Here is a 26,299-nt window from a genome sequence, read left to right on the forward strand (position 1 = left end):
TTTTGTATTTTTAGTAGAGACGGGGTTTCACCGTGGTCTCGGTCTCCTGACCTCGTGATCCAGCCGCCTCGGCCTCCCAAAGCGCTGGGATTACAGACATGAGCCACTGCGCCCAGCCCCGCCTTCTGGGTTCAAGCGATTCTCCTGCCTCAGCCTCCCGAGTAGCTGGGATTACAGGCGTGCACCACCATGCCCAGCTAATTTTGTATTTTTAGTAGAGACAGGGTTTCTCCATGCTGGTCAGGCTTGTCTTGAACTCCCAACCTCAGGTGATCCACCAGCCTTGGCCTCCCAAAGTCCTGGGATTACAGGCATGAGCCACTGCCCCCGTCCTGATTTTTAAATTTTTTGTACAGTTAAGGTTTTGATATTTTGCCCAAACTGGTTTTGAACCCCTGGTCTCAAGCGAGCCTCTTGTCTTAGCCTCCCAAAGTGTTGGGTACAGGCATAAGCCACTGCACTGGGCCATATTATTCAGTATTAATTGAAATTTGTATGTGTTACTTTTATCTTTAAAAAAATTTTTTTTTTTTTTTGAGACGGAGTCTTGCTCTAGCCCAGGCTGGAGTGCAATGGCGCAATCTCGGCTCACTGCAAGCTCCGCCTCCTGGGTTCACGCCATTCTCCTGCCTCAGCCTCCCCAGTAGCTGGGACTACAGGCACCCGCTACCATGCCTGGCTAATTTTTTTTGTATTTTTAGTAGAGACGGGGTTTCACCATGTTAGCCAGGATGGCCTCAATCTCCTGACCTCGAGATCCGCCCGCCTCGGCCTCCCAAAGTGCTAGGATTACAGGTGTGAGCCATCGCGCCCGGCTTAAATTTTTATTTATTTATTTACTGTTTTTGAGACGGAGTCTTGCTCTGTCTTCCAGGCTGGAGTGCTGTGGCATGATCTTGGCTCACTGTAACCTCCACCTCCCTGGTTCAAGTGATTCTCCTGCCTGAGCCTTCCCAGTAGCTGGGATTACAGGTGCCTGCCACCATGCCCAGCTAATTTTTGTATTTTTAGTAGAGGCAGGGTTTCGCCTTGTTTGCCAGGCTGGTCTTGAACTGACATCAGGTGATCCGCCCTCCTCAGCCTCCTCCTCGGCCTCCCAAAGTGCTGGGATTACAGGTGTGTGCCACTGCGCCCGCCTTATGTGTTACTTTTTTTTTTTTTTTTGAGATGGAGTCTCGCTACGCCGCCCAGGCTGGCATACAGTGGCGTGATCTCAGCTCACTGCAGCATCCGCCTCCCAGGTTCAAAAGATTCTCCTGCCTCAGCCTCCTGAGTAGCTGGGATTACAGGCACATGCCACCAAGCCCAGCTGATTTTTTGTATTTTTAGTAGAGACGGGGTTTCACCGTGTTAGCCAGGATGGTCTCGATCTCCTGACCTCATGATCTGCCCACCTCAGCCTTCCAAAGTGCTGGGATTACAGGCGTGAGCCACCACACCTGGCCCATGTGTTACTTTTATAATTAAAAAAAGTTAGAATGGCCTGTAATCCCAGCACTTTGGGAGGCCAAGGGGGGTGAATCATTTGAGCCCAGGAGTTCAAGTCTAGCCTGAGCAAAATAGTGAGACCCCCCCATCTCTATAAAATATATACATATATATTATTTAAAAAGTTATAATATCCACACAGGTAAGGATTATACTGTGTAGTAACACAAAACAGACTTTTCTACATTCGTTTAATTAAAAAAAATTCAAGGCCGGGGGCGGTGGCTCAGGCCTGTAATCCCAACACTTTGGGAGGCCGAGGCGGGTGGATCATGAGGTCAAGAGATCGAGACCATCCTGGCCAACATGGTGAAACCCCATCTCTACTAAAAAAATACAAAATCAGCTGGGCGTGGTGGTGCACGCCTGTAGTCCCAGCTACTTGGGAAGCTGAGGCAGGAAAATCAGTTGAACCCAGGAGGCGGAGATTGCAGTGAGCTGAGATCGTGCCACTGCACTCTAGCCTGGGCAACAGAGTGAGACTCCATCTCAAAAACAAAAAAAAAATCAAAAGTATGTATATTACTCTGAAAAATGGGTGTGTGGACAGTGACTTGAAAGGAATCATAAACAATAAAAATTACTTCCTTTTAAAGGTCCTTTAATGTTGTTATAGTGGATATGCAATAAACACAAATGGAGGGTAAAAGGGGGGGGAGATTCCTTGGTATTACTGTCGTTTTTGTTTTGTTTTACCTAGCAAGAATATAAACTTATTCTCAAAATCCTACTGAAGCCACTCACAGTGACAGAGCCATTTTTAGGGTGCATGACATGGATCAACTAACTACAAGCAATGGGCCAGTGGCCTGATTTGTAAGGCCCACAAACTAAGAATGGTTTTTACATCTTTTTTCTTTTTCTTTTGAGAGGGAGTCTTGCTCTGTCACCCAGGCTGGAGTGCAGTGGTGCAATCTCCGCTCACTGCAAGATCCGCCTCCCGGGTTCACGCCATTCTCCTGCCTCAGCCTCCGGAGTAGCTGGGACTACAGGTACCCACCACCATGCCCGGCTAATTTTTGTATTTTTAGTAGAGACGGGGTTTCACCGTGTTAGCCAGGATGGTCTCGATCTCCTGACTTCGTGATCTGCCCGCCTCAGCCTCCCAAAGTGCTGGGATTACAGGCGTGAGCCACCGCGCCCGGCCGGGTTTTACATCTTTAAAGAAGGGGGTCTGCCTGGGCACAGTGGCTTATGCCTGTAATCCCAGCACTTTGAGAGACCAAGGCGGGTGGAGTACCTGAGGTCAGGAGTTTGAGACCAGCCTGACAACATGGTGAAACCCCGTCTCTACTAAAAAAACACAAAAATTAGCCGGGCATGGTGGTGGGCGCCTGTAATCCCAACTAATTAGGATGCTGAGGCAGGAGAATCGCTTGAACCCAGGAGGTGGACGTTGCAGTGAGCTGAGATGGCGCCATTGCCCTCCAGCTTGTGTGACAGAGGGAAACTCCTCAAAAAACAAAAAACCAAAACAAAACAAAATAAAAAACAAGGGCGTCTGGCTGTGTTGCCCTGGCTGGACTGGACTCCAACTCCTGGGCTCAAGAGATCCTCCCATTTCAGCCTCTGGAGTAGCTGCTACTATAGGTTCGCATTACTAAGTCAGGTCGTTTTTACATTTTTAAATGGTTACAAAGGTCATATAAATACCCACATAATAATATCCTCCATTTTATCCTCTTAAACCGCAAAGGTTACATTATTTATTATCTGGCCGCTTAAAAAAAAATTGGGGGCCCCTTTCTATTCCTTCCCAGACCTCAGCCAGGAAACAAAGCGCCAAGTACCGGACCTAAACAAGCGCTCAGTCCTGAGAACCATGACTCCGCCGTGGCCCTGGAGCCTGGGGCTGGCTCCCAGCTCGCCGTCCAGCCCTCCCTGGAGGCAGCGGGTTTTCCTCTTTCCCGGGGGCCAGGCTGAGCGCCCCAGGTGGGGCTGTCTGTGCCCGAGATGCCCCCAGGCCCCTTTCAGAGCGCCCCTGCGGCTCGGGCGGCGGCTCGGCGCGGGCAGCCCCAGCGATCGCGCAGGCAGAAGTGCCACACCAGGGCGGCACAGCTTAGCAGGGCCAGGGCCGTGCCCACCCCGACGGCCGCGTGGACCAGAGTGCGGGGGTTGGGCGGCACCGCAAGGCGGCTGCAAGGCCCGAAGGCAGGGATGTCGGCCCCCTCGAGGCCCTCTCCTCCAGCCTGGGGCACGCGGCTTGCCCCGGCCTCGTTAGCGGCCACTACGCAAACGACATAAATGCCCCCTGGCTTCAGCCCCTTCAGTTCGGCTCTGCGGACCGTAGCGTTCAGCGGGGGCCCCTTCTGCGCAGCCTCGCTGCCGTCCCAAAGCAGCAGCCAGTAGTGGAGGACCGGGGAGAAGGGGGCACACCAGTGGACCACTGCGCGGCCCTCTTCGGCCGCAATGCGCACTTCTCCCATGCGCGGCGGGTCGGGCGGCTGGGCGGGGCTGGAGAGTCCTGGGCACAGGCAGGCCGCCGGCCCGACCCTCTGTAGCTCCTTGCAGGGCACCTGCAGGTGTCGGCAGTGGTCGTAGTCGCAGGGGACAGCCGGCAAAGGCGGCCACGCCGTCTCAGTCTCATCTGCCTCCTCTTCTTCAAAGTCTTGAGGGGCCAAGGGCTGAGCTCTGGGAACCAAGAAGGTCACGGCCAGGAGCCACAGAAGGCAGGGAGAGCCCAGCATGGAGACTGGAAGGGAAGGGGTGGATAGATAAAGCCTGTTCAGCCCAAAAGCCTGCCATGCCCTCTGCCTGGACACAATCTCTGGAGACAGGAAAATGCAACTGGGGATCAGAAGAGGAAAGAAGTTGGAATGAGGCAGACACACTCATTTGTCAACCAACTTCTGAGTCCAGGCTGTGTGCTTGGTTTCAGACAAAAAATAAAACATGATCTGACACATGAGACAGATGCATGATCAGCATGTGTTAAGTATTAGAAACAGTTAATGAATAAACAAAGTGCTGAGGGAGAGAAGAGGAGGACATGATTTACTTAGCCCAGGGAAGAACGGTAGGATATTTACTAGCTGCCACCCAGAGAAAAGATCTAAGCAAAACAAGTAACAAAGCCGGGCCCCTAGGCTGATGCCTATAATCCCAACACTTTGGGGAAGTCAAGGCAAGAGGATTGCTTGAGGCCAGGATTCCAAACCAGCTGGGGCAACACAGAGAGACCCCATCTCTACAAAAATTAAAAAGTATTTAAAAATTATTAAAAAGTTAAAAAACATTAAAAATATACTGCACATGCCTGTGGTCCCTGCTACTCAGGAGGATCACTTGAGCCCAGGAGTTCAAGGCTGCAGTGAACCATGATCGCCCCACAACACTCCAGCCTGGGTGACAAGAGTGAGACCTCAACTCAACAAAAACATGTATCCGTCAGTGACACAGGCAAAAACCCAGAAAGGAGACAGAGTTGAGAAAAGAGAACAGAATGGAGAAATATTGTAAGCACAGCTGTATTTTTTGAAAACAAGAGAAAAAAATAGGGACGCTGGAATCCTCCCTCCCCACCTGCTATCTGTGCAAATCCTGTCCAAGGAGTCCTGGCCCCTGCATGCCTCCCTCCTCCTCTCTGGCCCATAGCAGCTCCTCACCAGTGGGTAGGCCTTGATGCAGCGGGAATCCACCAGCTGACGTCTGTGGGTGTTAGGCTGAGGGATCCCCAAGATCTCAGGCTGTGCTGTCAGGTTGTATCTTCAACTTCAATGCCGTTTGGCTGGAAGCTTTTATAACCTTCGACTGTGATGTCACCACCTAGCTCCCCTCCTCCTCCCCCCACCTCCCTGGTGATTGCCAAAAAAGAGGGCTGCTCCCTTCAGAGGGACTGAGTCACGGGGCCAGGGATGGGGAAAGCCACATGCAATGGTTTCAGCTGGAGCCCAGGATGCCTGGGTTCTGGAAGGGGAGTGGAATGTGGAAAGCAGCCAGGAGCTTAGAATCCGAAGGCTGAAGTCATACAACGGGATGGGGAGGGGAACATAGAAGGCGGCCACCTGGCTGATATTAGAGGAAAACAGCTGCGAACAGCACGGGCCTGAGCCGCAAAATGCTGTTTTGGTAAAAATCCTACCACATCCATGGCAGTCATTTCCTGTCTTCTGCCTCCCAATGGACAGAGAAAGGGAGGAAGGGAGGAAGGGAGGGGTGTAGAGGGGGCCAGAATGATGTCTCCCAGCTCTGCAGACCTGCCCTACACCATCCCCCTCCTCTGGGGGAGATGAAAGTCACATGCAGGGAGTGGGAAAGCTTGCTAGGGGCCAGGATAGCTTCTCCCTCCTTGGACTTCCTAGGCTTATGAATGGAAACATCTGTGCTTAAAATAGCCCAGGTCTGGAGGCCTTCCCCTGGACAAGAAGACCTCCCCTCTAATGGCGGAAAGTGAGAGATGCATGGGGGACACAGGGTGTTCAAATGGCCCTGAACCCATTTCAGAGTCAAGGAAGAAGCTGACACAAAATAGTTTATTGAAGGAAAAACGAGGGGAGAGGAGTCAGGTGGGAAAGTGCTGGAATGTGAGGAGTCTGCCCCTTTTCTTCAGGAACTAGAGCAGGTGGGGCGCTGTCGGAGAGCACCCCCAGCAGGTTCAGAGCTGCCCAGAGTCTCTAGGACAGGGGCAGAAGCAGAAGCAGGAGCAGGAGCAGGCAGGTTGGCCTCCGTCAGCAAAGCTGCATCTTCCCAGGAGCCTGAACCTGGGCCAGGAAAGGGAAAAACAAAATCTCAAATGGGATATTAGATTAACCGGGGGCCCCACCCAGGTCACGCTGCAGGATGCCCCTCACCATCACTGGCCTCAGGCTCTAGCTCCTCTTCTCCGCTCAGGGGCTGCTGATCTGGTTTCTCCTCCTCGGACAGCTGACCCTCTGCAGCCAAAAGGGGAATGCAGGGGTCAGACCCAGACACTGAAGGAGAAAGCCAAGGAGTCAGGAAGGAGAGAGTGTGGTGGCTGCGCCATACCTGTCCCTGAGGGATCTTCAGGGCTCTCACCATCCTCTGTAACATCTGATTGCGGAGTTGACTCCTCCTGGCCTTCAGGCCCTGCACCTCCAAAGAGGGAGAGGACAGGTTAGGGTTAGGGTGGCTGTGCCTGGACGGCAGTGCCAACCTCACCTTCCTCGCCTTTCCTTTGACCCTTGTCTCAGTCGGTGATACCCTAAGCCTCATACTGGATGAAGCAGGGACTCCTTCTGGCCCAGCCCAGCTCAACCTAGCCCACCTCAACAGCTCCCCAGCCAACACCTTTACCTGGCTGATGAGCAGAGATCCTTCGTTGGACTTCCTTCCGGGAATTGTCTCTTTTTCGGATGTTAACCTGTGGAGGAAAAACTACTGAGCAGCCAGGACTGACTTCCCTCACTAACAATCAGGACCCTCATGCCTTAATCCCCAACATACCCCTGACCACCCACAAAGATCAAAGGGACAAAAGGGGGTCCTTGCCCCTTTCGACCTGCAAAGAGAAGCGGTGTCGGGGCCAGATGCCCCCCCACACCCACTGCATGTAGCTGAAGAGCACGATGACGCTGAGGAAGGTGAAGTTGCTGGCAACACCTATGAAGGCGCAGGTCATCGGGAAGTTGTATAGCAGGTATCTGAGGCAGGAAGTAGGGACAAGAAGGTAGTAGCAGTTACCAGAGAGCACCAGCCTTCTCATGTCCCAGAAATAATTTCTAGGGCAATTCAAGTGAGTTTGGTTACAGCTGGCTCTGTCACCCCTGCCTCCCACCCACACAGTTTCCAGAACCTGCTATACCAGGTTCTAACAAAGGCCAAGGACCTTGGGAAGTCTCCTGTGGGAGGGCCATATGCCACAGCCTCAATGTTGTCTGTCTCTCAAGAGTCACCCCAACTCTTGCTAAGCCAACGGTTCAAAAGAGTAGCTCTTAATTCTGTCAGCCCATCAGCCTTCCTCGGGGTGCTTTAAAACATTCTGCTCACAGGCCGGACGCGGTGGCTCACGCCTGTAATCCTAGCACTTTGGGAGGCCAAGGTGGACGGATCACAAGGTCAGGAGATTGAGACCATCCTGGCTAACACGGTGAAACCCCATCTCTACCAAAAATACAAAAAAAATTAGCCAGGTGTGGTCGCAGGCGCCTGTAGTCCCAGCTACTCAGGAAGCTGAGGCAGGAGAATGGTGTGAACCCGGGAGGCAGAGCTTGCAGTGAGCCGAGGTCGCGCCACTGCACTCCAGCCTAGGCAACAGAGCAAGACCCCCTCTTAAAAAAAAAAAAAAAAAAAATTCTGCTCACTTGGGTGGAGCCCTTAGCCCTGGATTTCTGGGTGGATGGCAGGGCGGAGGGAAGATGAACAGGGATGATGGAGGGTTGGGGGGACAAAAAACAAAAATTAAAAATTCTGATGCCTAGATAAAAGTTCCCCAGGGAGCTGATAGGCCAATATGTGGCAGCTTTGAGACCCTCTGGCCTATGTGAAACCCAAGTCAGCTCTGCTCTGTAAACCCATTACCTCTGCTTGGGACCCTCTTGGTGGAAGGTTAGCCCCCGTGAAGAGTTGCCCAAGGTTCACTCCAGTTGGCCCCTCACCTGAGCCCAGTGAAGTGCGCGTGGATGCGGAGGTAGGCTCCATACAGCTGGATGCGCTTGCTGTGGATCTCAATGATCGCTCCAGTGGTCGGCACGTACTGTGAGGGGGTGGGGTGAGGGTGGCGTCAGGCCAGGGTCCTGCCGCTAGCACTCTTACCCGCCTCATCTGAGCCCCACTTCCAGTCTCTCAGTTGTGATGTCTCCTGAGCCTGGAGGCTTCTCAGGTAGAATCCTGGGCTAATGGGAGGGGCTATCTCCTAGTCATAAAGCTCGTTCACCTCACTCACCGAGTTCTCTCTATAGTCTGCGTAGAGTTCCACCTCCAGCAGCTGCTTCTGCTCTGCAAAGCCAAATAGCAGGAGGCTAGAGAAGACCAGTGTGTCCAGCATCTGGAGCAGGTCTGAGCGGTAATGCAGCATCACCTGCCGGGGGTGGGAAGCAGAGGCTGGGGACAGGTGCATGCCAGATCCCCATGACCCTACCTACCCCTCAACCACCCCTGAGTAGTCTATGAAGGCGGCTTCTTCCTCAGGTCCCTGGCTGCCTCACCTTCACTTCCTACCCCTCAGTCTCATCCAACCATTCCAATTGCTTGAGTACCTCTCTCCCTACTCAACCACACTCTATTATAGAGCAAAGGCCCCTCCTTCCAAGAAACCTTCCTAGATTAAGCCCAGCACTGTCTCTGATCTGCCTTTCCCACCAAGTAGTTCTGTAATCCAGTATGGGATCTAAGTCCCAGCGCACCATCTGAAGCTTTCCCCCCATCATGTAGACATCAGGAATTTGCTTCATGATGAGGTTGTGTTGTTAATTAATGGAAGAATGGAGTCTTAACATTTATTAGGCCAGGTGCGGTGGCTCACACCTGTACTTGCAGCACTTTGGGAGGCTGAGGTGGTTGAATCATTTGAGATCAGGAGTTCGAGACCAGCCTGGTCAACATGGTGAAACCCCACCTCCACTAAAAATACAAAAATTAGCCAGGTGTAGTGGTGAGCACCTGTAGTCCCAGCTACTTGAGAGGCTGAGGCAGGAGAATCGCTTGAACCCAGGAGGTGAAGGTTGCCGTGAGCCGAGATCACGCCACTGCACTCCAGCCTGGGCGACAGAGCAAGATCTCTGTCTCAAAAACAAAAAAACATTAAACAGCCACTATGTGCTAATGGGAATTTTACATTTCCCCATTGAATCCAAACTAGTCTTGCTATGAGGCAGTTACTATTATACCCATTTTATAATACTTTATACCCAAGAAGTTAAGTCAGGTGACCCACAGCTAGCTTGTTTCTGAATGAGGACACAAGCCCATGTCTGTCTGGCTCTAAAGCCTGTTTTCTGAGAGCAGCTCCACTCTTCACACTTAATCCCAAAGCTGGGCATGCTCCTGAGATACCTGGGGTGTTTGGCAAAGGTTTCTGGTTTTGTAAGCTGATTCCTTTCTCTTTTTTTTTTTAAGACAAAGTTTTGCTCTTGTTGCCCAGGCTGGAATGCAGTGGCGCGATCTTGGCTCACCACAACCTCTGCCTCCCGGGTTCAAGCAATTCTCCTGCCTCAGCTTCCTGAGTAGCTGGGATTACAAGCATGCACCACCATGCCCAGCTAATTTTGTATTTTTAGTAGAGACGGGATTTCTCCATGTTGGTCAGGCTGGTCTCGAACTCTGGACCTCAGGTGATCTACCCGCCTCGGCCTCCCAGAGTGTTGGGATTACAGGCATGAGCCACTGCGCCCGGCCTTGATTCCCTTCTTTATCCTGATGTGTCTGTGACCTCAAAGCCAAGGGTGTTTTCTCCTGAGGAATCCCTACCCAGACATTCTTTTTTTTTTTTTTTTTTTTTTTTTTTTGAGACGGTCTTGCTCTGTTGCCCAGGAGGGAGAATAGTGGTGCAATCTTGGCTCACTGCAGACTCAACCTCCCAGGTTTAAGCGATCCTCCCACCTCAGCCTCTAGAGTAGCTGGGACTACAGCCGTGAGCCACCATGCCCAGCTAATTTTTAAACTTTTTTTGTAGAGATGGGTTTCGCCATGTTGCCCAGGCCAGTCTTGAACTCCTGGGCTCAAGCGATCTGCCTGCCTCGGCCTCCCAAACTGCTGGGATTATAGGCCTGAGCCACCACACCCAGCCCCCTACCCATTCTGATCCTGCCATCTTCCTCCACACCTTCTCAGACAGGCCACCAACACTTACCGAACGCGAAGAAGTGGAGATGATTCGGCCACCTCTGGTGTAGCAGGAAATGGTGACCAAGAACATGCCCAAATCTTGATTCACAGGGGACTCTGGCAGCTCAAGCTCTAAGGTAACACGATACGGCTGTCCATACATCAGCACCTGCCAAAGGTAGCCCCCATTTCTTTAAAAAAATTTTTTTGTTGAAAATGTACTGTCTCTATTCCACCTCCCTCTTAGCCCCCGCAACGCCCCCAAATACTCAGCCACAACCCTCTTGGGTAGCCTAACGGGCCTTTCAATCTGTCATCCCAAGAAGGTGCTGCCCCCTTCTGGTGGCTAGAGCCTCTCACGTCCAGTTCTTGGGTATCCTGTTGGCTCTCCTGAATCAGACTGGCTACCCTGTTCCCAGAAAGGCTGTGTCACGTTTCTTTTCCAAAAGTGAACCATCATGTTGCCAACTGGGCCATCTGTGACTCTGGCCTATGGGCCGGTGAGGCTGTCCCCAGGGCCCAGCCTGTCCTCTCTTACATTATTAATCAAGCACTGACAGTGCTCAGTCTCCCCAGCCAGCTCTGGCACAGTCATCCTCGCTCCAGATCATCTTTCTGCCATTCTAGCTCCCTTATCTTGGTTCTGTTGGTAGCGCCCCAAGACTCAGAGTAGGAAGGCTTCTTCACAGGGATCACCCTCAAGAGGTTAAAGATTTGCCACCAAACATGCCCTAGTTTTTCCTATTTCTATATTCTTCTAGCCCCTTTATTGATTCATATCTGGCAACAAGGCCCTCACACAGTAGTATATAAAAATTACAGGAGTGAGGGTAAAGCTTCTGTTTTTAATTAGAGGTAATGGGTTAAAAAAAAAAAAAAAGGTTAGCCAGGTGCAGTGAGTCATGCCTGTAATCCCAGCACTTTGGGAGGCCAAGGCAGGTGGATCACCTGAGGTCAGGAGTTCGAGACCAGCCTGGCCAACATGGTGAAACCCCCCGTCTCTATTAAAAATACAAAAATTAGATGGACGTGGTGGCAGGCGCCTGTAATCTCAGCCACTCAGGAGGCTGAGGCAGGAGAATCGCTTGAACCCTGGAGGCGGAGATTGCAGTGAGCCGAGAGCGCGCCATTGCACTGCAGCCTGGGCGACAAGAGCAAAACTCTGTCTCAAAAAAAAAAAAAAAAAAAAAAAAAATTTGGAAAATACTTCCCTAGCCCATAGTGAACTACCTCCAAAACATGGGTTCAGCCTTGGGGGTGCTTTCAGTGTTTATCACTAAGGCAATGGTTGACACCACTGATAGGGGCCTTTTTTTGTACCTTCTTATTGCCAGTCAGAACTATCTGTTGGCCGGGCGCGGTTGGCTCATGCCTGTAATCCCAGCACTTTGGGAGGCTGAGACGAGTGTATCACAAGGTCAGGAGTTCAAGACCAGCCTGGCCAAGATGGTGAAACTCTGTCTCTACTAAAAATACAAAAATTAGCCGGGCGTGGTAGCAGGCACCTGTAATCCCAGCTACTCGGAGGCTGAGGCAGAGAGCTGCTTGAACCCGAGAGGCGGAGGTTGCAGTGAGCTGAGATCGTGCCACTGTACTCCAGCCTGGGTGACAGAGCAAGATTCTGTCTCAAAACAAACAAACAAACAAAAAACTATCTGTTGAAGAAAATGGATTCCATGAGATTCCTACCCCCCTGTAGAGACCAGATGATTAAGCCAGTTGCTTCATAAACTTTTTGTGTGTGTGTGTGTGTGTGTGTGTGTGTGTGTGTGAAGACAAGGTCTTGCTCTGTCACAGGCTGGAAGGCAGTGGCATGATCATGGCTCACTGTGCCTGGAACTTCTGGGCTCAATCTATCCTCCTGCCTCTGCCTCCTAAGTACCTGGGACCATACGGACTATAGGCACATGCAACCACATGCAACTAAAAATTTTTTTTTTTTTTTGGAGAGACAGGGGTCTTGCTTTGTTGCTCAGCCTATGAATTCTTCCCCTCAACCACTCCCCCAGTCTATTAATTCTTTTCTTTTTTGAGACAGGATCTCGCTCTTGTCACAAAGGCTGGAGTGCAGTGGTGTGATCACAGCTCACTGGCAGCCTCAACCTCCTGGGCTCAGTTGATCTTCCTGTCTCAGCCTCCTGAGTAGCTGGAACTACAGGCATGTGCCACCACACCCAGCTAATTTTTTATTTTTTTGTAGAGACGGGGTCTCATTATGCTGCCCAAGCTGGTCTTGAACTGCTGGACTCAAGCAATCCTGCCTTGGCCTCCCAAAGTGCTGGGATTATAGGTGTGAGCCACTGCCCTTGGCCCAAATTCTTTGAAACATTAAAATAGGTAGTTCTCTTAGCCAGGTGTGGTGGTGCATGCCTGCAGTCCCAGCTGCTGAGGAGACTGAGGCAGGAGGATCCCTTGAGCCCAGGAGTTTGAGGCTACAATGAGCTATGATTGGGCCACTGCACTCCAACCGGGGTGACAGAATGAGACCCCAATTCAAAAAAAAAAAAATTAATCTCCTCCAAAGGGATCCACAGAATTTAATACTAAAACCTTGTGAATAAATCCATGCCGGCCGGGCGCGGTGGCTCATGCCTGTAATCCCAGCACTTTGGGAGGCCAAGGCGGGCAGAAGACGAGGTCAGGAGATCGAGACCATCCTGGCTAACACGGTGAAACCCTGTCTCTACTGAAAATACAAAAAAATTAGCCGGGCATGGTGGTGGGCGCCTGTAGTCCCAGCTACTTGGGAGGCTGAGGCAGGAGAATGGCGTGAACCCGGGAGGCGGAGCTTGCAGTGAGCCGAGATCATGTCACTGCACTCCAGCCTGGGCAACTCCGTCTCAAAAAAAAAAAAAAAAAAAAATTCCATGCCTTTGTCCACAATTGCCTGCTTGATGGGCAGATTCTCCCCCTTCTCTAACATTCCCATGTAATATTCACCCTTCCTTAAAAGATCCGCTTTGGGCCCGGCACAGTGGCTCATGCCTGTAATCCCAGCACTTTGGGAGGCCAAGGCAGGTAGATCACCAGGACAGGAGTTCCAGACCAGCCTGGTCAACGTGGTGAAACCCCGTCTCTACTAAAAAAAAAAAAATACAAAAATTAGCTGGACATGGTGGCATGCGCCTGTAATCTCAGCTACTCAGGAGGCTGAGGCAAGAGAATCACTTGAAGCCAGGAGGCAGAGGTTGCAGTGAAGCAAGATCACACCAGTGCACTCCAGCCTGGGCAACAGAGAGAGACTCTGTATCAAAAAAAAAAAAAAAAGGATCCGCTTTGAACATCACCATCTCCATGGTCTTAGACTATCCCAGACAACACTGATCTAATTCTTCACGAATGCTTCTGGAATGCAGAATCCACATCCTTTTTTTTTTTTTTTTGAGACGGAGTCTCGCTCTGTCGCCCAGGCTGGAGTGCAGTGGCGCAATCTCGGCTCACTGTAAGCTCTGCCTCCCGGGTTCACGCCATTCTCCTGCCTCAGTCTCCCGAGTAGCTAGGACTACAGGCGCCCGCCACCACGCCCACCTAATTTTTTGTATTTTTAGTAGAGACAGGGTTTCACCGTTTTAGCCAGGATGGTCTCCATCTCCTGACCCCGTGATCCACCCGCCTCGGCCTCCCAAAGTGCTGGGATTACAGGCGTGAGCCACCGTGCCCGGCCTCTTCTTTTTGAGATGGAGTCTTACTCTGTCGCCCAGGCTGGAGTACAGTGGCATGATGTCGGCTCACTGTGACCTCTGCCTCCTGGGTTCAAGCGATTCTCCTGTCTCAGCCTCCCAAGTAGCTGGGACTACAGGCACACACCACCACGCCTGGCTAATTTTTGCATTTTGAGTAGAGACAGGGTTTCACCATATTGGTCAGGCTGGTCTTGAACCCTGACCTCAGGTGATCCACCCGCCTCGGCCTCCCAAAGTGCTGGGATTACAGGCATGAGCCACTATGCCTGGCCAGAATCCGCATTTTACAGTTTACTACTTAAATGTATGCAAACATATGCAATGTATAGTTTTCCATCAACGCTGTGAGCTCATTGAGAGCAGCGACCACATCTACTTATAGCAAGCCGTTACACATAGTGGACAGATTATTTCATTCATTAATTCATTTAAAAATGTTCATTGTCAACAAACAAAATGTTCAACCTCTTCTAATTATCAGGGACATGGGCTGAATTTGCTCTCATCTTCCTTTTATTCCTCCCTCCCTCATGTGACAGCCTCACACCTGATCGTTTGAGGCTCCCTCCCTTGGCTCTCTGCCTTCCCATTATGATCTCTGCAATGGGCCACAAAACTGTATGCACCATCCCAGGTTCTGTGGCTTTCTCATTTCTTCTCAATAAAGTCATTTATTATTATTATTTATTTATTTATTTTGAGATGGAGTCTTGCTCTGTCGCCAGGCTGGAGTGCAGTGGCACGATCTCAGCTCACTGCAACCTCCGCCTCCTGGGTTCAAGTGATTCTCCTGCCTCAGCCTCCAGAGTAGCTGGGATTACAGGTGCACACCACCACGCCCAGCTAATTTTTGTATTTTTAGTAGAGACGGGGTTTCACCAGTTGGCCAGGATGGTCTCGATCTCTTGACCTCATGATCCGCCCGCCTCGGCCTCCCAAAGTATTGGGATTACAGGCGTGAGCCACCACGCTTGGCCCCTAATTTTTTCTGAGATGGAGTCTTGCTCTGTAGCCCAGGCTGGAGTGCAGTGGCGCGATCTCGGCTCACTGCAAGCTCCGCCTCCCAGGTTCACACCTTTCTCCTGCCTCAGCCTCCCAAGTAGCTGGGACTACAGGCCTGCGCCACCACACCTGGCTAATTTTTGTATTTTTAGTAGAGACGGGGTTTCACCATGTTGGTCAGGATGATCTCAAACTCCTGACCATGTGATCCGCCTGCCTCGGCCTCCCAAATTGCTGGGATTACAGGCGTGAGCCACTGTGCCCAGTCAAGTCATTTATTATTTTTTAACCATAGAAGCAAACTGAATAAATGTCTTTATAGAAGATTCTAGGCCAGGCATGGTGGCTCATACCTGTAATCCCAGCAGTTTGGAAGGACCAGGTGGGAGGACTGCCTGAGCCCAGGAGTTTGAGACCAGCCTGGGCAACATAGCAAAATCCTATCTGGTTTTTTTTTTTTTTTTTTTTTGAGACTGAGTCTCGCTCTGTCACTCAGGCTGGAGTGCAATGGAGCAGTCTCGGCTCATTGCAACCTCCACCTCCCGGGTTCAAGCAATTCTTGTGCCTCAGCCTCCAAAGTAGCTGGGACTATAGGTTTGTGCCACCACACCTGGCTAATTTTTGTATTTTTAGTAGAGACGGGGTTCGACTGTGTTGGCCAGGCTGGTCACGAACTCCTGACCTCAGGTGACCCACCTGCCTCCTCAGCCTCCCAAAGTGCTGAGATTACAGGCGTGAGCCACCACACCCGGTTATAATCCTAACACTGTGGGAGGCTGAGTCGGGAGGACCACTTGAGCCTAGTAGTTTGAGACAAGCCTAGGCAACATAGTAAGATCTTGTCTCTACTAAAAATTAAAAAAAAAAAAAAAAAAAAAAAAGCTGGGCATGGTGGCACACACCTGTAGTCCCAGCTACTTGGGAGATCACTTGAACCTGGGAGGTCAAGGCTGCAGCGAGCCGTGATCGTATCACTGCACTCCAGGCTAGGTGGCAGGGCAAAACCTTGTCTTGAAAAATAAAATAAAATAGAACCCCAGACTCTATAGGTTATACTCCTCCCTTCAAAAGTGTGACATTCTATCATTACATCAGTTTCCTCCAAAGTACCACTTTTGAAAAATAACTTCAGGCTGGACATGGTGGCTCATGTCTGTAATCCCAGCACTTCAAGAGGCTGAGGTGGGCAGATCACCTGAGATCATGAGTTTAAGACCAGCCTGGCCAACATGATCAAACCCCGTCTCTATTAAAAATACAAAAATCAGCTAGGTATGGTGGCATACGCCTGTAACCCCAGCTACTTGGGAGGCTGAGGCAGGAGAATCGATTGAACCCAGGGGGCAGAGGTTGCAGCGAGCCAAGATCGTGCCATTGCACTGTAGCCTGGGCGACAGGAAAGAAACTCCGTCTCAAATAAATAAATAAATAAATAAAACTTCAGGCTGGGTGTGGTTGCTCACGCATGTAATCCCAGCACTTTTGGAGGCCGAGGTGGGTGGATCACCTGAGGTCAGGAGTTTTAGACCAGCATGACCAACATGGTGAAACCCTGTCTCTGCTAAAAATACAAAAGTTAGCCGGGTGTGGTGGTGGGCACCTGTAATCCCAGGTACTCAGGAGGCTGAGGTGGGAGAATCGCTTGATCCCAGGAGTTGGAGGTTGCAGTGAAGTGAGATCGCGCCACTGCACTCCAGTCTTGGCGACAGAGCAAGACTCTGTCTCAAAAAAAAAAAAAGAACGTATCCTTTATGAGAGCCTCCTCTAGCTTGCCTACTATAGAGGGCCCAGTCCCCATATGCATTTCTCAGGGTTCCCAGGTTTGTTGACATCACACTGGCATCTGGCCAGTCCTCTGGCACAGTACCCTTTGTAATGACACGATGCATATATTTGACAACAGTTTCATAATGTTATATAAATGCTTTCAAAACTCTTGGGTAGATGCCCATCTTATTCCAATGTAATAGCTCATTTGTTCATTTAGGTCTAAAACATTGCTTACTTCACCTAGCAGATATTGCTCACTTTACCTAGCAGATAAATAGATCATACTTCACCTGATACAGATGGTCCTCAGTTTATGATGGGGTTACATTCCGATAAACCCATCTAAGTTGAAACTATCACAAGCTGAAAACGCATTTAGTACACCTAACCTAAAGAACATCATAGCTTACTTAGCCTAGCCTACCTTAAACATGCTCAGAACACTTATGTTAGCCTACCTATAGTTGATTACAATCATCTAACACAAAGCCTATACTTATAATAAAGTAGTGAATATCCCATGTGATTTATTGAATGCTGTACTGAACGTGAAAAACAGGCTGGGCGTGGTGGCTGACGCCTATAATCCCAGCACTTTGGGAGGCGGGCAGATCACAAGGTCAAGAGATCCAGACCATCCTGGCCAACATGGTGAAATCCCATCCCTACTAAAAATACAAAAAAATTAGCTGGGTGTGGTGGCGCGCTCCTGTAGTGCCAGCTACTCGGGAGGCTGAGGCAGGAGAATCGCTTGAACCCAGGAGGTGGAGGTTGCAGTGAGCTGAGATCGCGCCACTGCAATCCAGCCTGGCGACAGAGTGAGACTGTCTGGAAAAAAAAAAAAAAAAAGAAAGAGAGTGAAAAACAGAATGGTTGTATAGGTACCTGAAGTACAGTGTCTAAGGAATGTATGTCGCTTTTGCACCACAGTAAGTTGAAAAATTCTTAAGTTGAATTACCGTAAGTCAGGGACTATGTTGAGAAAGAACATTTCTAACACCTGCTGCAGAAAGATCCATCAATACACACAATTAATTTTAATTTCTTTTCCTTCAAAGCCTTCCTCTTAGTCTCCTTTTTTTTTTTAAGACAGAGCTTCATTCTTGTTGCCCAGGCTGGAGTGCAATGGCGTGATCTCGGCTCACCGAAACCTCCTCCTCCCGGATTCAAGTGATTCTCCTGCCTCAGCCTCCCAAGTAGCTGGGATTACAGGCATGCACCACCACGCCCAGCTAATTTTGTATTTTTAGTAGAGACGGGGTTTCTCCGCGTTGGTCAGGCTGGTCTCGAACTCCCAACCTCAGGTGATCTGCCCACCTCAGCCTCCCAAAGTACTGGGATTACAGGCGTGAGCCACCGTGCCCGGCCAGTCTCTTATTACTCAATTCCTTCTCTCTAGGCCTTTCTCAAGTCTTCCTATTTTGAGTCATCAAAGCTCTAATGAAACCTCTCTCTAGTTCCCATACTCACCCGATCACGTCCACCCTTAGTCAGCGAGACATTGGCAACAGGGAAGGAGCAGAGTGAGGTGGTGGAGGAATCACAGTCGGTCCTAAATGAGATTGGAGGAGGATACTCTGCTAAGTTAGTCTTACTAGTCCATCCATACACCTTCTTTGCCCCCTAGGGCTCCCTCCTGCCCTCCTCCCTTCTCTCAGAACAGGCACCCTTCTCTCTGTTACAAAGATGGAGAACAAATGTGGCCAGGAGATTCAAGATACCAGGATTATTTCATTCTCTTCCTATGACTTCAATGTATGTCCTCTCATTACAACAGATGTTCTTAGATGGGAATCTAGAGATACTTAAATAGTTGCATACTTCAGTGTTTCTAAAGACTTAAGGAGCTTGATAAAAATGTAAATTCCAGGGCCAAGCAGCAGCGGCTCACGCCTGTAATCCCAGCACTTTTGGAGGCCGAGGAGGGCGGATCACCTGAGGTCAGGAGTTTAAGACCAGCCTGACCAACATGGAGACACCCCATCTCTACTAAAAATACAAAATTAGCGGGGCGTGGTGGCGCATGCCTGTAATCCCACCTACTCGGGACGCTGAGGCAGAAGAATCGCCTGAACCTGGGAGGCAGAGGTTGTGGTGAGCCAAGATCACGCCACTGCACTCCAGCCTGGGCAACAAGGGTGAAACTCCATCTCAAAAAAAAAAAAAAGGAAATTCCAGGGTCCCACCCCAAGAGATTCTGATTTGGTAGCTCTGGTCTGGGTCCTAGTTTGAGAAAACGCCTCCAAAAGGATCTACAGATGGTTATTAAGAAGCTCATGAACCCCTCCAATTGTAGGCAAATTTGCATGTGGGGGTGTGGGTGCAGCATATGCCTGGGCATGCATATACGTTTTTTTTTTTTTTTTTTTTTTGAGACGGAGTCTTGCTCTGTCGCCCAGGCTGGAGTGCAGTGGCACGATCTCGGCTCACTGCAAGCTCCGCTTCCCAGGTTCACGCCATTTCTCCTGCCTCAGCCTCTCAAGTAGCTGGGACAACAGGCGCCTGCCACCACGCCCGGCTAATTTTTTTATTTTTAGTAGAGACAGGGTTTCACGGTGTTAGCCAGGATAGTCTCAATCTCCTGACCTTGTGATCCGCCTGCCTCGGCCTCCCAAAGTGCTGGGATTACAGGTGTGAGCCACCGCGCCCGGCCGTATATATGTTTTTATGGCAGGAAGGGCCATAAGATCCATTTCCTAAAAGTTTAAGAAGCTCTGCTTTAGAAACTATAGCTCTGGACCAGGGACTTAAGGGAAAAAATGACTTTAAACCATTGATTATAACGCCCTTCTCTGCATCTGTTGATAGGTCCTACAACCACTGTTAAGAAAAGAGAACTAGGCCGGGCGCAGTGGCTCATGCTTGTAATCCCAGCACTTTGGGAGGCCAAGGGGGTGGATCACGAGGTCAGGAGTTCGAGATCAGCCTGGCCAACATAGTGAAACCCCATCTCTACTAAAAATACAAAAAAAAATTAGCCAGGTGTGGTGGCAGGCACCTGTAATCCCAGTTACTTGGGAGGCTGAGGCAAGGCAGGAGAATGGCTTGAATCTGGAGGCAGAGGTTGCAGTGAGCTGAGATTGCGCCACTGCACTCCAGCCCAGGCAACAGCACGAGACTCTGTCTCAAAAAGAAAAAAAAAAAAAAGAAGAAGAAGAAGAGACCTTGGTGGGGCACAGTGGCTCACGTCTGTAATCCCAGCACTTTGGGAGGCCAAGGCGGATGGATCACCTGCATTCAGGAGTTCAAGACCAGCCTAGCCAACATGGTGAAACCCCATCTCCCCAGCACTTTGGGAGGCCAAGGCAGGTGGATCACAAGGTCAGGAGATTGAGACCATCCTGGCTAACAAGGTGAAACCCCATCTCTACTAAAAAAAAAAAAAAAAAAAAAAAAAAATTAGCTGGGTATGGTGGCAGGTGCCTGTAGTACCAGCTACTCAGGAGGCTGAGGCAGGAGAATGGCGTGAGCCCAGGAGGCGGAGCTTGCAGTGAGCCGACATGGCACCACTGCACTCCAGCCTGGGCGACAGAGCAAGACTCCATCTCAAAAACAAAAACAATAACAAAACAAAAAAAAACCCATCTCTACTAAAAATACAAAAATTAGCCAGATGTGGTGGCACACACCTGTAATCCCAGCTACTTGGGAGGCTGAGGCACGAGAATTGCTTGAACCTGGGAGGTTGCAGTGAGCAGACACTGCACCACTGCACTCCAGCCTGGGCAACAGAGAGAGACTCCACCTCAAAAAAGAGAGAATTTGGCACTTGGCAGGGTTTGTAAAATGAGAAGGAACCTAAGGGGCCAGTCAAGACGCAAGACTCTCTGGGAAGCAAGTTTATGCGCCTACTCATCTTATGTTTCCATAATCTCTATTGTGTAGCCGACTTTCAGGGACTGAGAGGCAGTAATGTAAAAAGCAAACTGCTGCTTTCCTAATAGCTCCTCTACTGAAAGCCAGGTTGGTTCTGCACTAAAGGGTTGAGTTGGCTCAAAATTCTACATTGGCCCTGAGAGAGGGGTGATCCAACCAAAATAGAATTGATCCTCATAATGATAGAAGTGGATATTTTTCCTTTTTTTTTTTTTTTTTTTAACCAGAATTCAGTAATCAGAGGTAGAACTAGAACCCTAGCCCTGGCAACCCAAATCTAGCCTTGGGCTGTGAAAGTTGAGAGGCCCTGGAAGCACACCTGGCTCCAGTTTTCCTTATCTGTAAATGAGGGGATTGAACTGAATGAACTCCAAGGGCCTTACAATTCCCATAGGAGTCCTCTATTTTGATAGAAGGCCCCTCTCACCTGTAGTAGAAATGCACAGGGCTGAGGTGGCTGACTGTCGGCATATAGGAATAGTAGAAGGAGCCATAGAGGAAGACAGACACCCAGAGCAAAAGGAGGATGGTGCAGAAGAGCACCCCAAACTGCAGCAGCAGCCTGCGGGCACGGCCTGCCAAGACTTGGCCCACCTCCTGGGCCCACAGTAAGGCAGGTACTGGAGGGTCGTTGACCATGGCCGGGAGAGCAGGGTGTCTGGCCCCAGGTTCAGGCCTTGCGTTCCTAGCTGCTCTGCCACCTGGACGCCACCCCTGGCCATGGGATGCAGCAGCTGGTGGTTCCTGGAAAGAGAGGGTGAGGGAAAAGAGTGACTCCTTTCCCCAGGGAGGTGGGGACAAAACAGCTTACTGGACTGGCTTTGAGGAACGAGAGATAGCAGGATAGCAAAGTCATTGTTTCATATATATGGCCTTTCTCCAAATGATTGTGCCACTCTGCCAATTACCCCTTCCCTTTCCTCCACTGTGTTCCCTCCCGCCCAGTGCTAAATCTCCTCAGTGGAATTCCTTCTCCAGTCATTTGATGCTGGGACAAACCACCTTGATTCTCATTCACAGCTATATAACAAAGAATAAGCACCTTACGATTCTTAGAAAGAGCTTTACACACACGGTGATACTGAATCCACACTGCTAGGCAGCTGCACGGAGAGAATGTGCGACTTGCCTAAGGTCGCACGGCCTGACTCGAAACCAGTAGCCTTAGAGTAGCCACAATTGCTTCCCGAGTTTCTCCTCTCCGCCTCGAGCAGAGCTCGCTCACCGACACGGCTACACCCCACGCCCGGCGGAGCGCCCTGCAGCCAACCGCCGCTTCCCGCCAGTCCCCTCCAGCTCGGGGGTGGGCAAAGCGCCCGGAGCCCCTACCTAATCGTGCAACCATGGAAACCAGCCCGCCGGCTGCCACAGGGCTGCCGACTCACCAGCCTCGCGCGCTGCCAGGGCAACCGTGAGACGGGACTTCCGGCTCCCGGGGAAGTCCCGCCCCTCTCCGCCGGCCGCTTTTGTAGCCGTGGGAGGCGGGGCTTCAGCCCAGGGCGGGGTCCAGCACGGCGGGGCGGGGCGGGACGGGGCGGAGCCTTCCCGAGCTGCGAGGTCGCTGTCTCCTTGCGCTCGCCACTGGCTCTCTCTGCGGCAGGTTTCCCTCCGGTTACCGTGACCAAAGGGGAAAGACGCCTGCCTCCCTGCAGGCCCCAAGATGTGCCCCAGGGGATGCGCTGACTGCAGCCTCCGCTCGGCTCTCCCTTGAGACTGCAATCACAGCCCTCCGTGCACACCTTCACCACAGGCCATTTCACCCGCGAAGCGGCCGAGTGAGGCGGTCATCCAGCTGGCGCTGATTTTTATCGCCCACAGCTCCTAGGACCTGTAGGCATCTAAGGCGGGGGCATTCGCCTAGAGCATGTTGCAGTTTGCGGCAACCTGGGCCTCTTGCGTTGTTGCGCAGGCAGATTAGTGCCCTGTTCCCAGCGTGGTAGCATTGTGGACCTCCTCTGACCCTAACTGGATACACTCTCCCTCAGAGTCCCCACAGCACATTATCTAGACTAGCTTTTGGCAGTCTTCTATTTTGTAGACGTCTAATCACCCCAGATAAAGTCCTTCAGAGGCAAGGCCAGTGTTGTGTACATCTTTGCACACTGCTGCGGGCGTGGGAAGTAATCTATTCAAAATGAATGAAATTCTTAAAACCAATCCATCCCCCCGCCCCCTTCACGCCAGCCCACCTATTTCCAGTATATTTCTGCTGACTGTCCCCACAAGGGCCCCTACCTCCTCTTTGTCCGGTCCTTTGATCTGGTCTCCGCACACCTCTTTTTCCCCAGCTTCCTCCTTTTGGTCTACCTTTTCTGTAGACATCTTCCTGACGAGCCTCTGTTGACTCTGGATCTTCCACTGAGTCACTTGTGGCTAAAACGTGAAGTGGCGATCCAGACGCTGATACCTGTGGCGCATCACATTTTCCTGGATATGGAAAATGGAGGGTCCCTGGGAGAGAAACGAAGATTCAGGTGCTAAGTGCTGTGTCAGAGTAGAGGGAGGAAAGGAGGAGGGGGGCGACTGCCCAGCTGATGTCAGATTTTCAAATGAGCAGGGTCCCCCGCAGCCAGTACAGACTCCACTGCAGGGGCCGTCATAGGCCCAGACCACGCCATTTGAGAGGGGGAGTCGGCCTTGGCCTCAGCTCTGTTGGGGAGGTCTCTAGCCCAGAGTCAGGATGCCTGCAATGGGGGAGGGGCAGGCAGTGAACTAGCGACAGTGGGGGTGTGCGCAGGGATGCAGGCAGCTAGGCTCCCCCACTGGCCAGGCAGTTGGTATGCTCCAGGATCTGAGCAGCTCCTTCTAGCATCCTTCATCCTTCAGGTACCAGCCATCCAGACAGTGCTTGAGCTGCAGAAACTGAGACCAGACCTCTGGCCTGGCCCTCCCCAGGGGCCTCCTTTCGTATAGTCACTGCTTCTGCATCAGATACTTTCAGCTGCAACTCCCTACTGGGTGGGGCACCCATTTCAGGCAGAAGGTTTTGGTACCCTCCACTGACCCTACACCCAGGGCTGCTACTGCCGCTTGTGGCTTCAGGTAAGTAATGGCCTGTTTTTCTCCTGTTGGGGCTCACTGGAGCAGACAGGGGTGATGTGCCCTCCTCATCAGGGTTGGTTGAGGTCTTCAGAGCTGGGAACACACATGGTTTGAAGGGCTGAAAAGCCTTAAATCATTTGTGTAAGGTTTAATGATCTGTGGCCCAGGCCATGAGGGAGTTTGGGGAGCACCTCATCCCACCCTATTTTTTTCCATGAGGAATACAGGGATGAGACAGTCCACTGGAGGAGGAGGAGGAGGATAGGAGGGGAACAAAATATTGGGGTATGACCACAGCCTTGTAAAGGTTGGTGTGGAGTGAGCATGGAGGGGGGCCTCCAGCTGAGACTGTGCTCTGAGAGGTCCCTCTTTTTTCCAGGATGAAAGGTGAGACCCCGGTGAACAGCACTATGAGTATTGGGCAAGCACGCAAGATGGTGGAACAGCTTAAGATTGAAGCCAGCTTGTGTCGGATAAAGGTAGGTGGGACCCTGGCTGGCTCCCATTAGTTGGCCAGGCTGTGCTGTGCTGCAGGTTCCCAAAGCTCAAGATAAGAGATGCGTTCTTTCCTTCACTCCCTGAGGTCAGGGGAGGAGTCTGGGGCTCTGTAGAGAGAGCTGTCCCCAGGCCTCTGGGGGGGATGAGGGAGAAGACAAGTCGTAAGGAGCCCTGGAGATGGCAAAAGAGAACCCATTTGGGGAGGGAGGCTGCAGTCCCCTTCAGAGGTCCTGGCTAACAATACCCTTCCTGGCTGTGTCCCAGGTGTCCAAGGCAGCAGCAGACCTGATGACTTACTGTGATGCCCACGCCTGTGAGGATCCCCTCATCACCCCTGTGCCCACTTCGGAGAACCCCTTCCGGGAGAAGAAGTTCTTCTGTGCTCTCCTCTGAGCTCCCCTGTCCCTTCTCACAACTCCTCCCTTTTCCCTCTCCTGGGCCCTTCCTTAGGTCAGTAATTGTTGTGAGCCCCTTAGGCTCCTTGCATCCCATCCCTAACCCTTGCCTGACCATGTGAGGTTATCTGAAGCACAAGGCCCACCCTCACCTATCTGTCGACCCCATTTCCTACCACCTTTGTGGCCGACCCCAAGCACCCCAGAGATATGAGGCACCCTTTGCTCCACCCACAGCAGGGCCCCGTCAGACTCTGCCAGCGCGTCCTGCCCGCTTCCCTCGGTGACCTGCTCAGACAATGGAGAGGGATGGGCCAGGTTCTTGCTCTCAGTCTCACCTGGAGCTACTGGGAGGGTAAAGCCATTTGAAGAATAAAGTCATCCAGAGCCTCAGGACAGCTCCTGTGTTAGAATTCTTGGGGGGAGAGGATCATCAAGCAATAGATCTGCCATACCCAGGGAAAAGGGCCAATCAATGCAGGCTAGACATCGTCAAGGATCGGAGATCAGAGGGGTCGGGGGATGGCGGGCGCGAGAGAGCGTCCACAGTGTAAGAATTAAGTACAAAAGACGCTCAAGAGGCTGCGAAGAGCAAACACACACACACAAACGTGCAACGAAGCCAAGTTAAAAGGTAAACAGGCCGAAGAGGGGGGATTTAGGGGAGGGTGCGGGAGTGCAGTCGTACAGCAGAGGAACTCTTAGGAGGGTAGGGGCGGAGCTTGGCTTCAGTTACCGCGACTGGAGCCGATTTTATACCTAAGATGGCTGCGCCCACAGCCACTCCCATTCCAAGATGGCCGTACCAACATGGCAGCCCCCACGTCACGGAGTTTACCGTACAGGGCTTCTCTTAAAATGGCGGCCCCCAGGCAACCGGCGTTCTCAATATGGTCCCTTCCGCCCTCTTCTGGTCTCAAAATGGCTGCCCCTGCCCTAACCAAGCCGGGGCCCGCGCCCTGCAACCCCGAAATCTGGATTTCGGTGTCCTCCCGATTGAGTCGAAGGCACACGGGCGGCCATAACGAAGAATCACTAAACAAGGGGACCCCAGGAAGTACAGCGTGGCCGACGCTGGTCGCGTGGATCTTGCGAGGGAATCTAGGTTTCTACATTTTGCCAAGAAAGGAGAGGCTCCCTTTGGAGCGGAAATATTAGCGGCAGGGGGTTAACCCCCGACCCTGTCCGTCTCGGTGCACCGCTCCTCAGTTGCTTCCTGGTCTTCCCAGGAGCTGGATAAGCCTGAAGTTGCTCAGTTTGGGTTTCCTAGTAGAACTGGGGCTTGTTTTTGCTTTCATTTTCCCCTCAGGCCGATTCAGCCACAGCAGCCAGAAAGCAGTGGCCGCACCCCTAATGTGCCTTGCAAAAGTCCAGCATGCTGTCTGGGCAGGGACCAAACTTAAGGCTTAACATGTCATGGTCATCTCCAGGACTCAAACATGGCGGAGGTTTACGAACACCAGAATGCCTCCTAGAATCTTTTCCTTCCAAGGGTGCACAGAGGCGAGATGGGACCAGGGACAAGACAAAGAACGTAACAATCCCAGTACGTGTGCTCCTGCTAGAGGTCCCCTAAACTCAGGGACGCATCCTCCCCAGGAAAAGCCTAGGCTGGCTCCTGTTTTGTGCCTGGATATACTTCGGGAAGGGAGGCTGCTTTGAAATAGTAGGGACAGCTCATTACCTCCAGCTTCCAGGTATCTTTGCACAGAAGACAGCAAAGTGGATAAAGGAAACCAAAGGAAGAAAGGTTGTTATCACCAGCAACTGAACTTAGCCTCCTAAGGATATCTTCATGAATTCCAGGGACACCCAGTGAACTTG

General features: G+C 51.4%; 3 protein-coding genes and 1 long non-coding RNA gene across 10 annotated transcripts in view, besides 7 other annotated features; 1 reads left to right on the top strand and 3 right to left on the bottom strand.

Moving 5' to 3' along the window:
- Nucleotides 2,073-5,197, bottom strand: LRRN4CL (LRRN4 C-terminal like). The gene is made up of 2 exons (NM_203422.4): nucleotides 5,094-5,197; nucleotides 2,073-4,180 (listed from the first exon to the last, which is right to left on the bottom strand). Exon 2 carries the CDS (start codon nucleotides 4,173-4,175, stop codon nucleotides 3,459-3,461), a length of 717 nt encoding a protein of 238 aa, NP_981967.1. The 5' UTR covers nucleotides 4,176-4,180; nucleotides 5,094-5,197; the 3' UTR covers nucleotides 2,073-3,458.
- Nucleotides 3,225-3,725: an enhancer, noted in NCBI's record as "H3K4me1 hESC enhancer chr11:62455030-62455530 (GRCh37/hg19 assembly coordinates)". NCBI's record gives its function as "activates a minimal SCP1, AML or CMV promoter by ChIP-STARR-seq in naive H9 embryonic stem cells {active_cell/tissue: H9 hESC(naive)}" and the evidence as "EXISTENCE:reporter gene assay evidence [ECO:0000049][PMID:30033119]".
- BSCL2 (BSCL2 lipid droplet biogenesis associated, seipin) lies at nucleotides 5,929-25,204 on the bottom strand. Of its 5 annotated transcripts, none has more exons than NM_001386028.1 (12): nucleotides 24,814-25,204; nucleotides 22,776-22,991; nucleotides 20,968-21,284; nucleotides 18,135-18,216; nucleotides 10,235-10,378; nucleotides 8,330-8,464; nucleotides 8,043-8,140; nucleotides 6,947-7,088; nucleotides 6,742-6,808; nucleotides 6,454-6,534; nucleotides 6,279-6,359; nucleotides 5,942-6,188 (listed from the first exon to the last, which is right to left on the bottom strand). In NM_001386028.1, the coding sequence occupies exons 2-12, from the start codon at nucleotides 22,860-22,862 to the stop codon at nucleotides 6,034-6,036; spliced, it is 1,389 nt and encodes a 462-aa protein (NP_001372957.1). In that variant the 5' UTR covers nucleotides 22,863-22,991; nucleotides 24,814-25,204; the 3' UTR covers nucleotides 5,942-6,033. The 5 variants fall into 5 exon arrangements, with proteins under 5 accessions (NP_116056.3, NP_001124174.2, NP_001372957.1 ...); NM_001386027.1 differs by having other exon boundaries at nucleotides 6,454-6,540; NM_032667.6 differs by lacking the exons at nucleotides 22,776-22,991; nucleotides 24,814-25,204 and adding an exon at nucleotides 21,870-21,982 and having other exon boundaries at nucleotides 5,929-6,188.
- Nucleotides 5,929-26,299, bottom strand: part of HNRNPUL2-BSCL2 (HNRNPUL2-BSCL2 readthrough (NMD candidate)) — a 37,123-nt gene continuing 16,752 nt past the window's right edge. The window contains exons 14-24 of the long non-coding RNA NR_037946.1: nucleotides 22,776-22,991; nucleotides 20,968-21,284; nucleotides 18,135-18,216; nucleotides 10,235-10,378; nucleotides 8,330-8,464; nucleotides 8,043-8,140; nucleotides 6,947-7,088; nucleotides 6,742-6,808; nucleotides 6,454-6,534; nucleotides 6,279-6,359; nucleotides 5,929-6,188 (exon numbers count right to left, since the gene is read on the bottom strand). This is a non-coding gene — a long non-coding RNA (HNRNPUL2-BSCL2 readthrough (NMD candidate)). The remainder of the gene's footprint in view (nucleotides 6,189-6,278; nucleotides 6,360-6,453; nucleotides 6,535-6,741; nucleotides 6,809-6,946; nucleotides 7,089-8,042; nucleotides 8,141-8,329; nucleotides 8,465-10,234; nucleotides 10,379-18,134; nucleotides 18,217-20,967; nucleotides 21,285-22,775; nucleotides 22,992-26,299) is intronic.
- Nucleotides 13,899-14,491: an enhancer, noted in NCBI's record as "H3K27ac-H3K4me1 hESC enhancer chr11:62465704-62466296 (GRCh37/hg19 assembly coordinates)". NCBI's record gives its function as "activates a minimal SCP1, AML or CMV promoter by ChIP-STARR-seq in naive H9 embryonic stem cells {active_cell/tissue: H9 hESC(naive)}" and the evidence as "EXISTENCE:reporter gene assay evidence [ECO:0000049][PMID:30033119]".
- Nucleotides 21,795-22,134: a silencer, noted in NCBI's record as "silent region_3426". NCBI's record gives its function as "represses an Ori minimal core promoter by ATAC-STARR-seq in GM12878 lymphoblastoid cells {active_cell/tissue: GM12878}" and the evidence as "EXISTENCE:reporter gene assay evidence [ECO:0000049][PMID:35858748]".
- Nucleotides 21,795-22,475: a biological region, named in NCBI's record as "H3K27ac-H3K4me1 hESC enhancer GRCh37_chr11:62473607-62474280".
- Nucleotides 21,802-22,475: an enhancer, noted in NCBI's record as "H3K27ac-H3K4me1 hESC enhancer chr11:62473607-62474280 (GRCh37/hg19 assembly coordinates)". NCBI's record gives its function as "activates a minimal SCP1, AML or CMV promoter by ChIP-STARR-seq in naive and primed H9 embryonic stem cells {active_cell/tissue: H9 hESC(naive and primed)}" and the evidence as "EXISTENCE:reporter gene assay evidence [ECO:0000049][PMID:30033119]".
- GNG3 (G protein subunit gamma 3) lies at nucleotides 22,113-24,868 on the top strand. Of its 3 annotated transcripts, none has more exons than XM_047426794.1 (4): nucleotides 22,113-22,370; nucleotides 23,367-23,582; nucleotides 23,962-24,061; nucleotides 24,345-24,868. In XM_047426794.1, exons 3-4 carry the CDS (start codon nucleotides 23,963-23,965, stop codon nucleotides 24,471-24,473), a joined length of 228 nt encoding a protein of 75 aa, XP_047282750.1. In that variant the 5' UTR covers nucleotides 22,113-22,370; nucleotides 23,367-23,582; nucleotide 23,962; the 3' UTR covers nucleotides 24,474-24,868. The 3 variants fall into 3 exon arrangements, with proteins under 3 accessions (XP_047282750.1, XP_006718563.1, NP_036334.1); XM_006718500.3 differs by lacking the exon at nucleotides 22,113-22,370 and adding an exon at nucleotides 22,922-23,014; NM_012202.5 differs by lacking the exon at nucleotides 22,113-22,370 and having other exon boundaries at nucleotides 23,343-23,582.
- Nucleotides 23,795-24,994: an enhancer, noted in NCBI's record as "CDK7 strongly-dependent group 2 enhancer chr11:62475600-62476799 (GRCh37/hg19 assembly coordinates)". NCBI's record gives its function as "activates an origin of replication core promoter dependent on BRD2, BRD4, P300/CBP, MED14 and CDK7 cofactors, with strong dependence on CDK7, by STARR-seq in HCT116 cells {active_cell/tissue: HCT116}" and the evidence as "EXISTENCE:reporter gene assay evidence [ECO:0000049][PMID:35650434]".
- Nucleotides 25,125-25,764: an enhancer, noted in NCBI's record as "active region_4840". NCBI's record gives its function as "activates an Ori minimal core promoter by ATAC-STARR-seq in GM12878 lymphoblastoid cells {active_cell/tissue: GM12878}" and the evidence as "EXISTENCE:reporter gene assay evidence [ECO:0000049][PMID:35858748]".

This window comes from Homo sapiens, chromosome 11, assembly GCF_000001405.40.
Source record: "Homo sapiens chromosome 11, GRCh38.p14 Primary Assembly".
Taxonomy (NCBI): domain Eukaryota; kingdom Metazoa; phylum Chordata; class Mammalia; order Primates; family Hominidae; genus Homo; species Homo sapiens.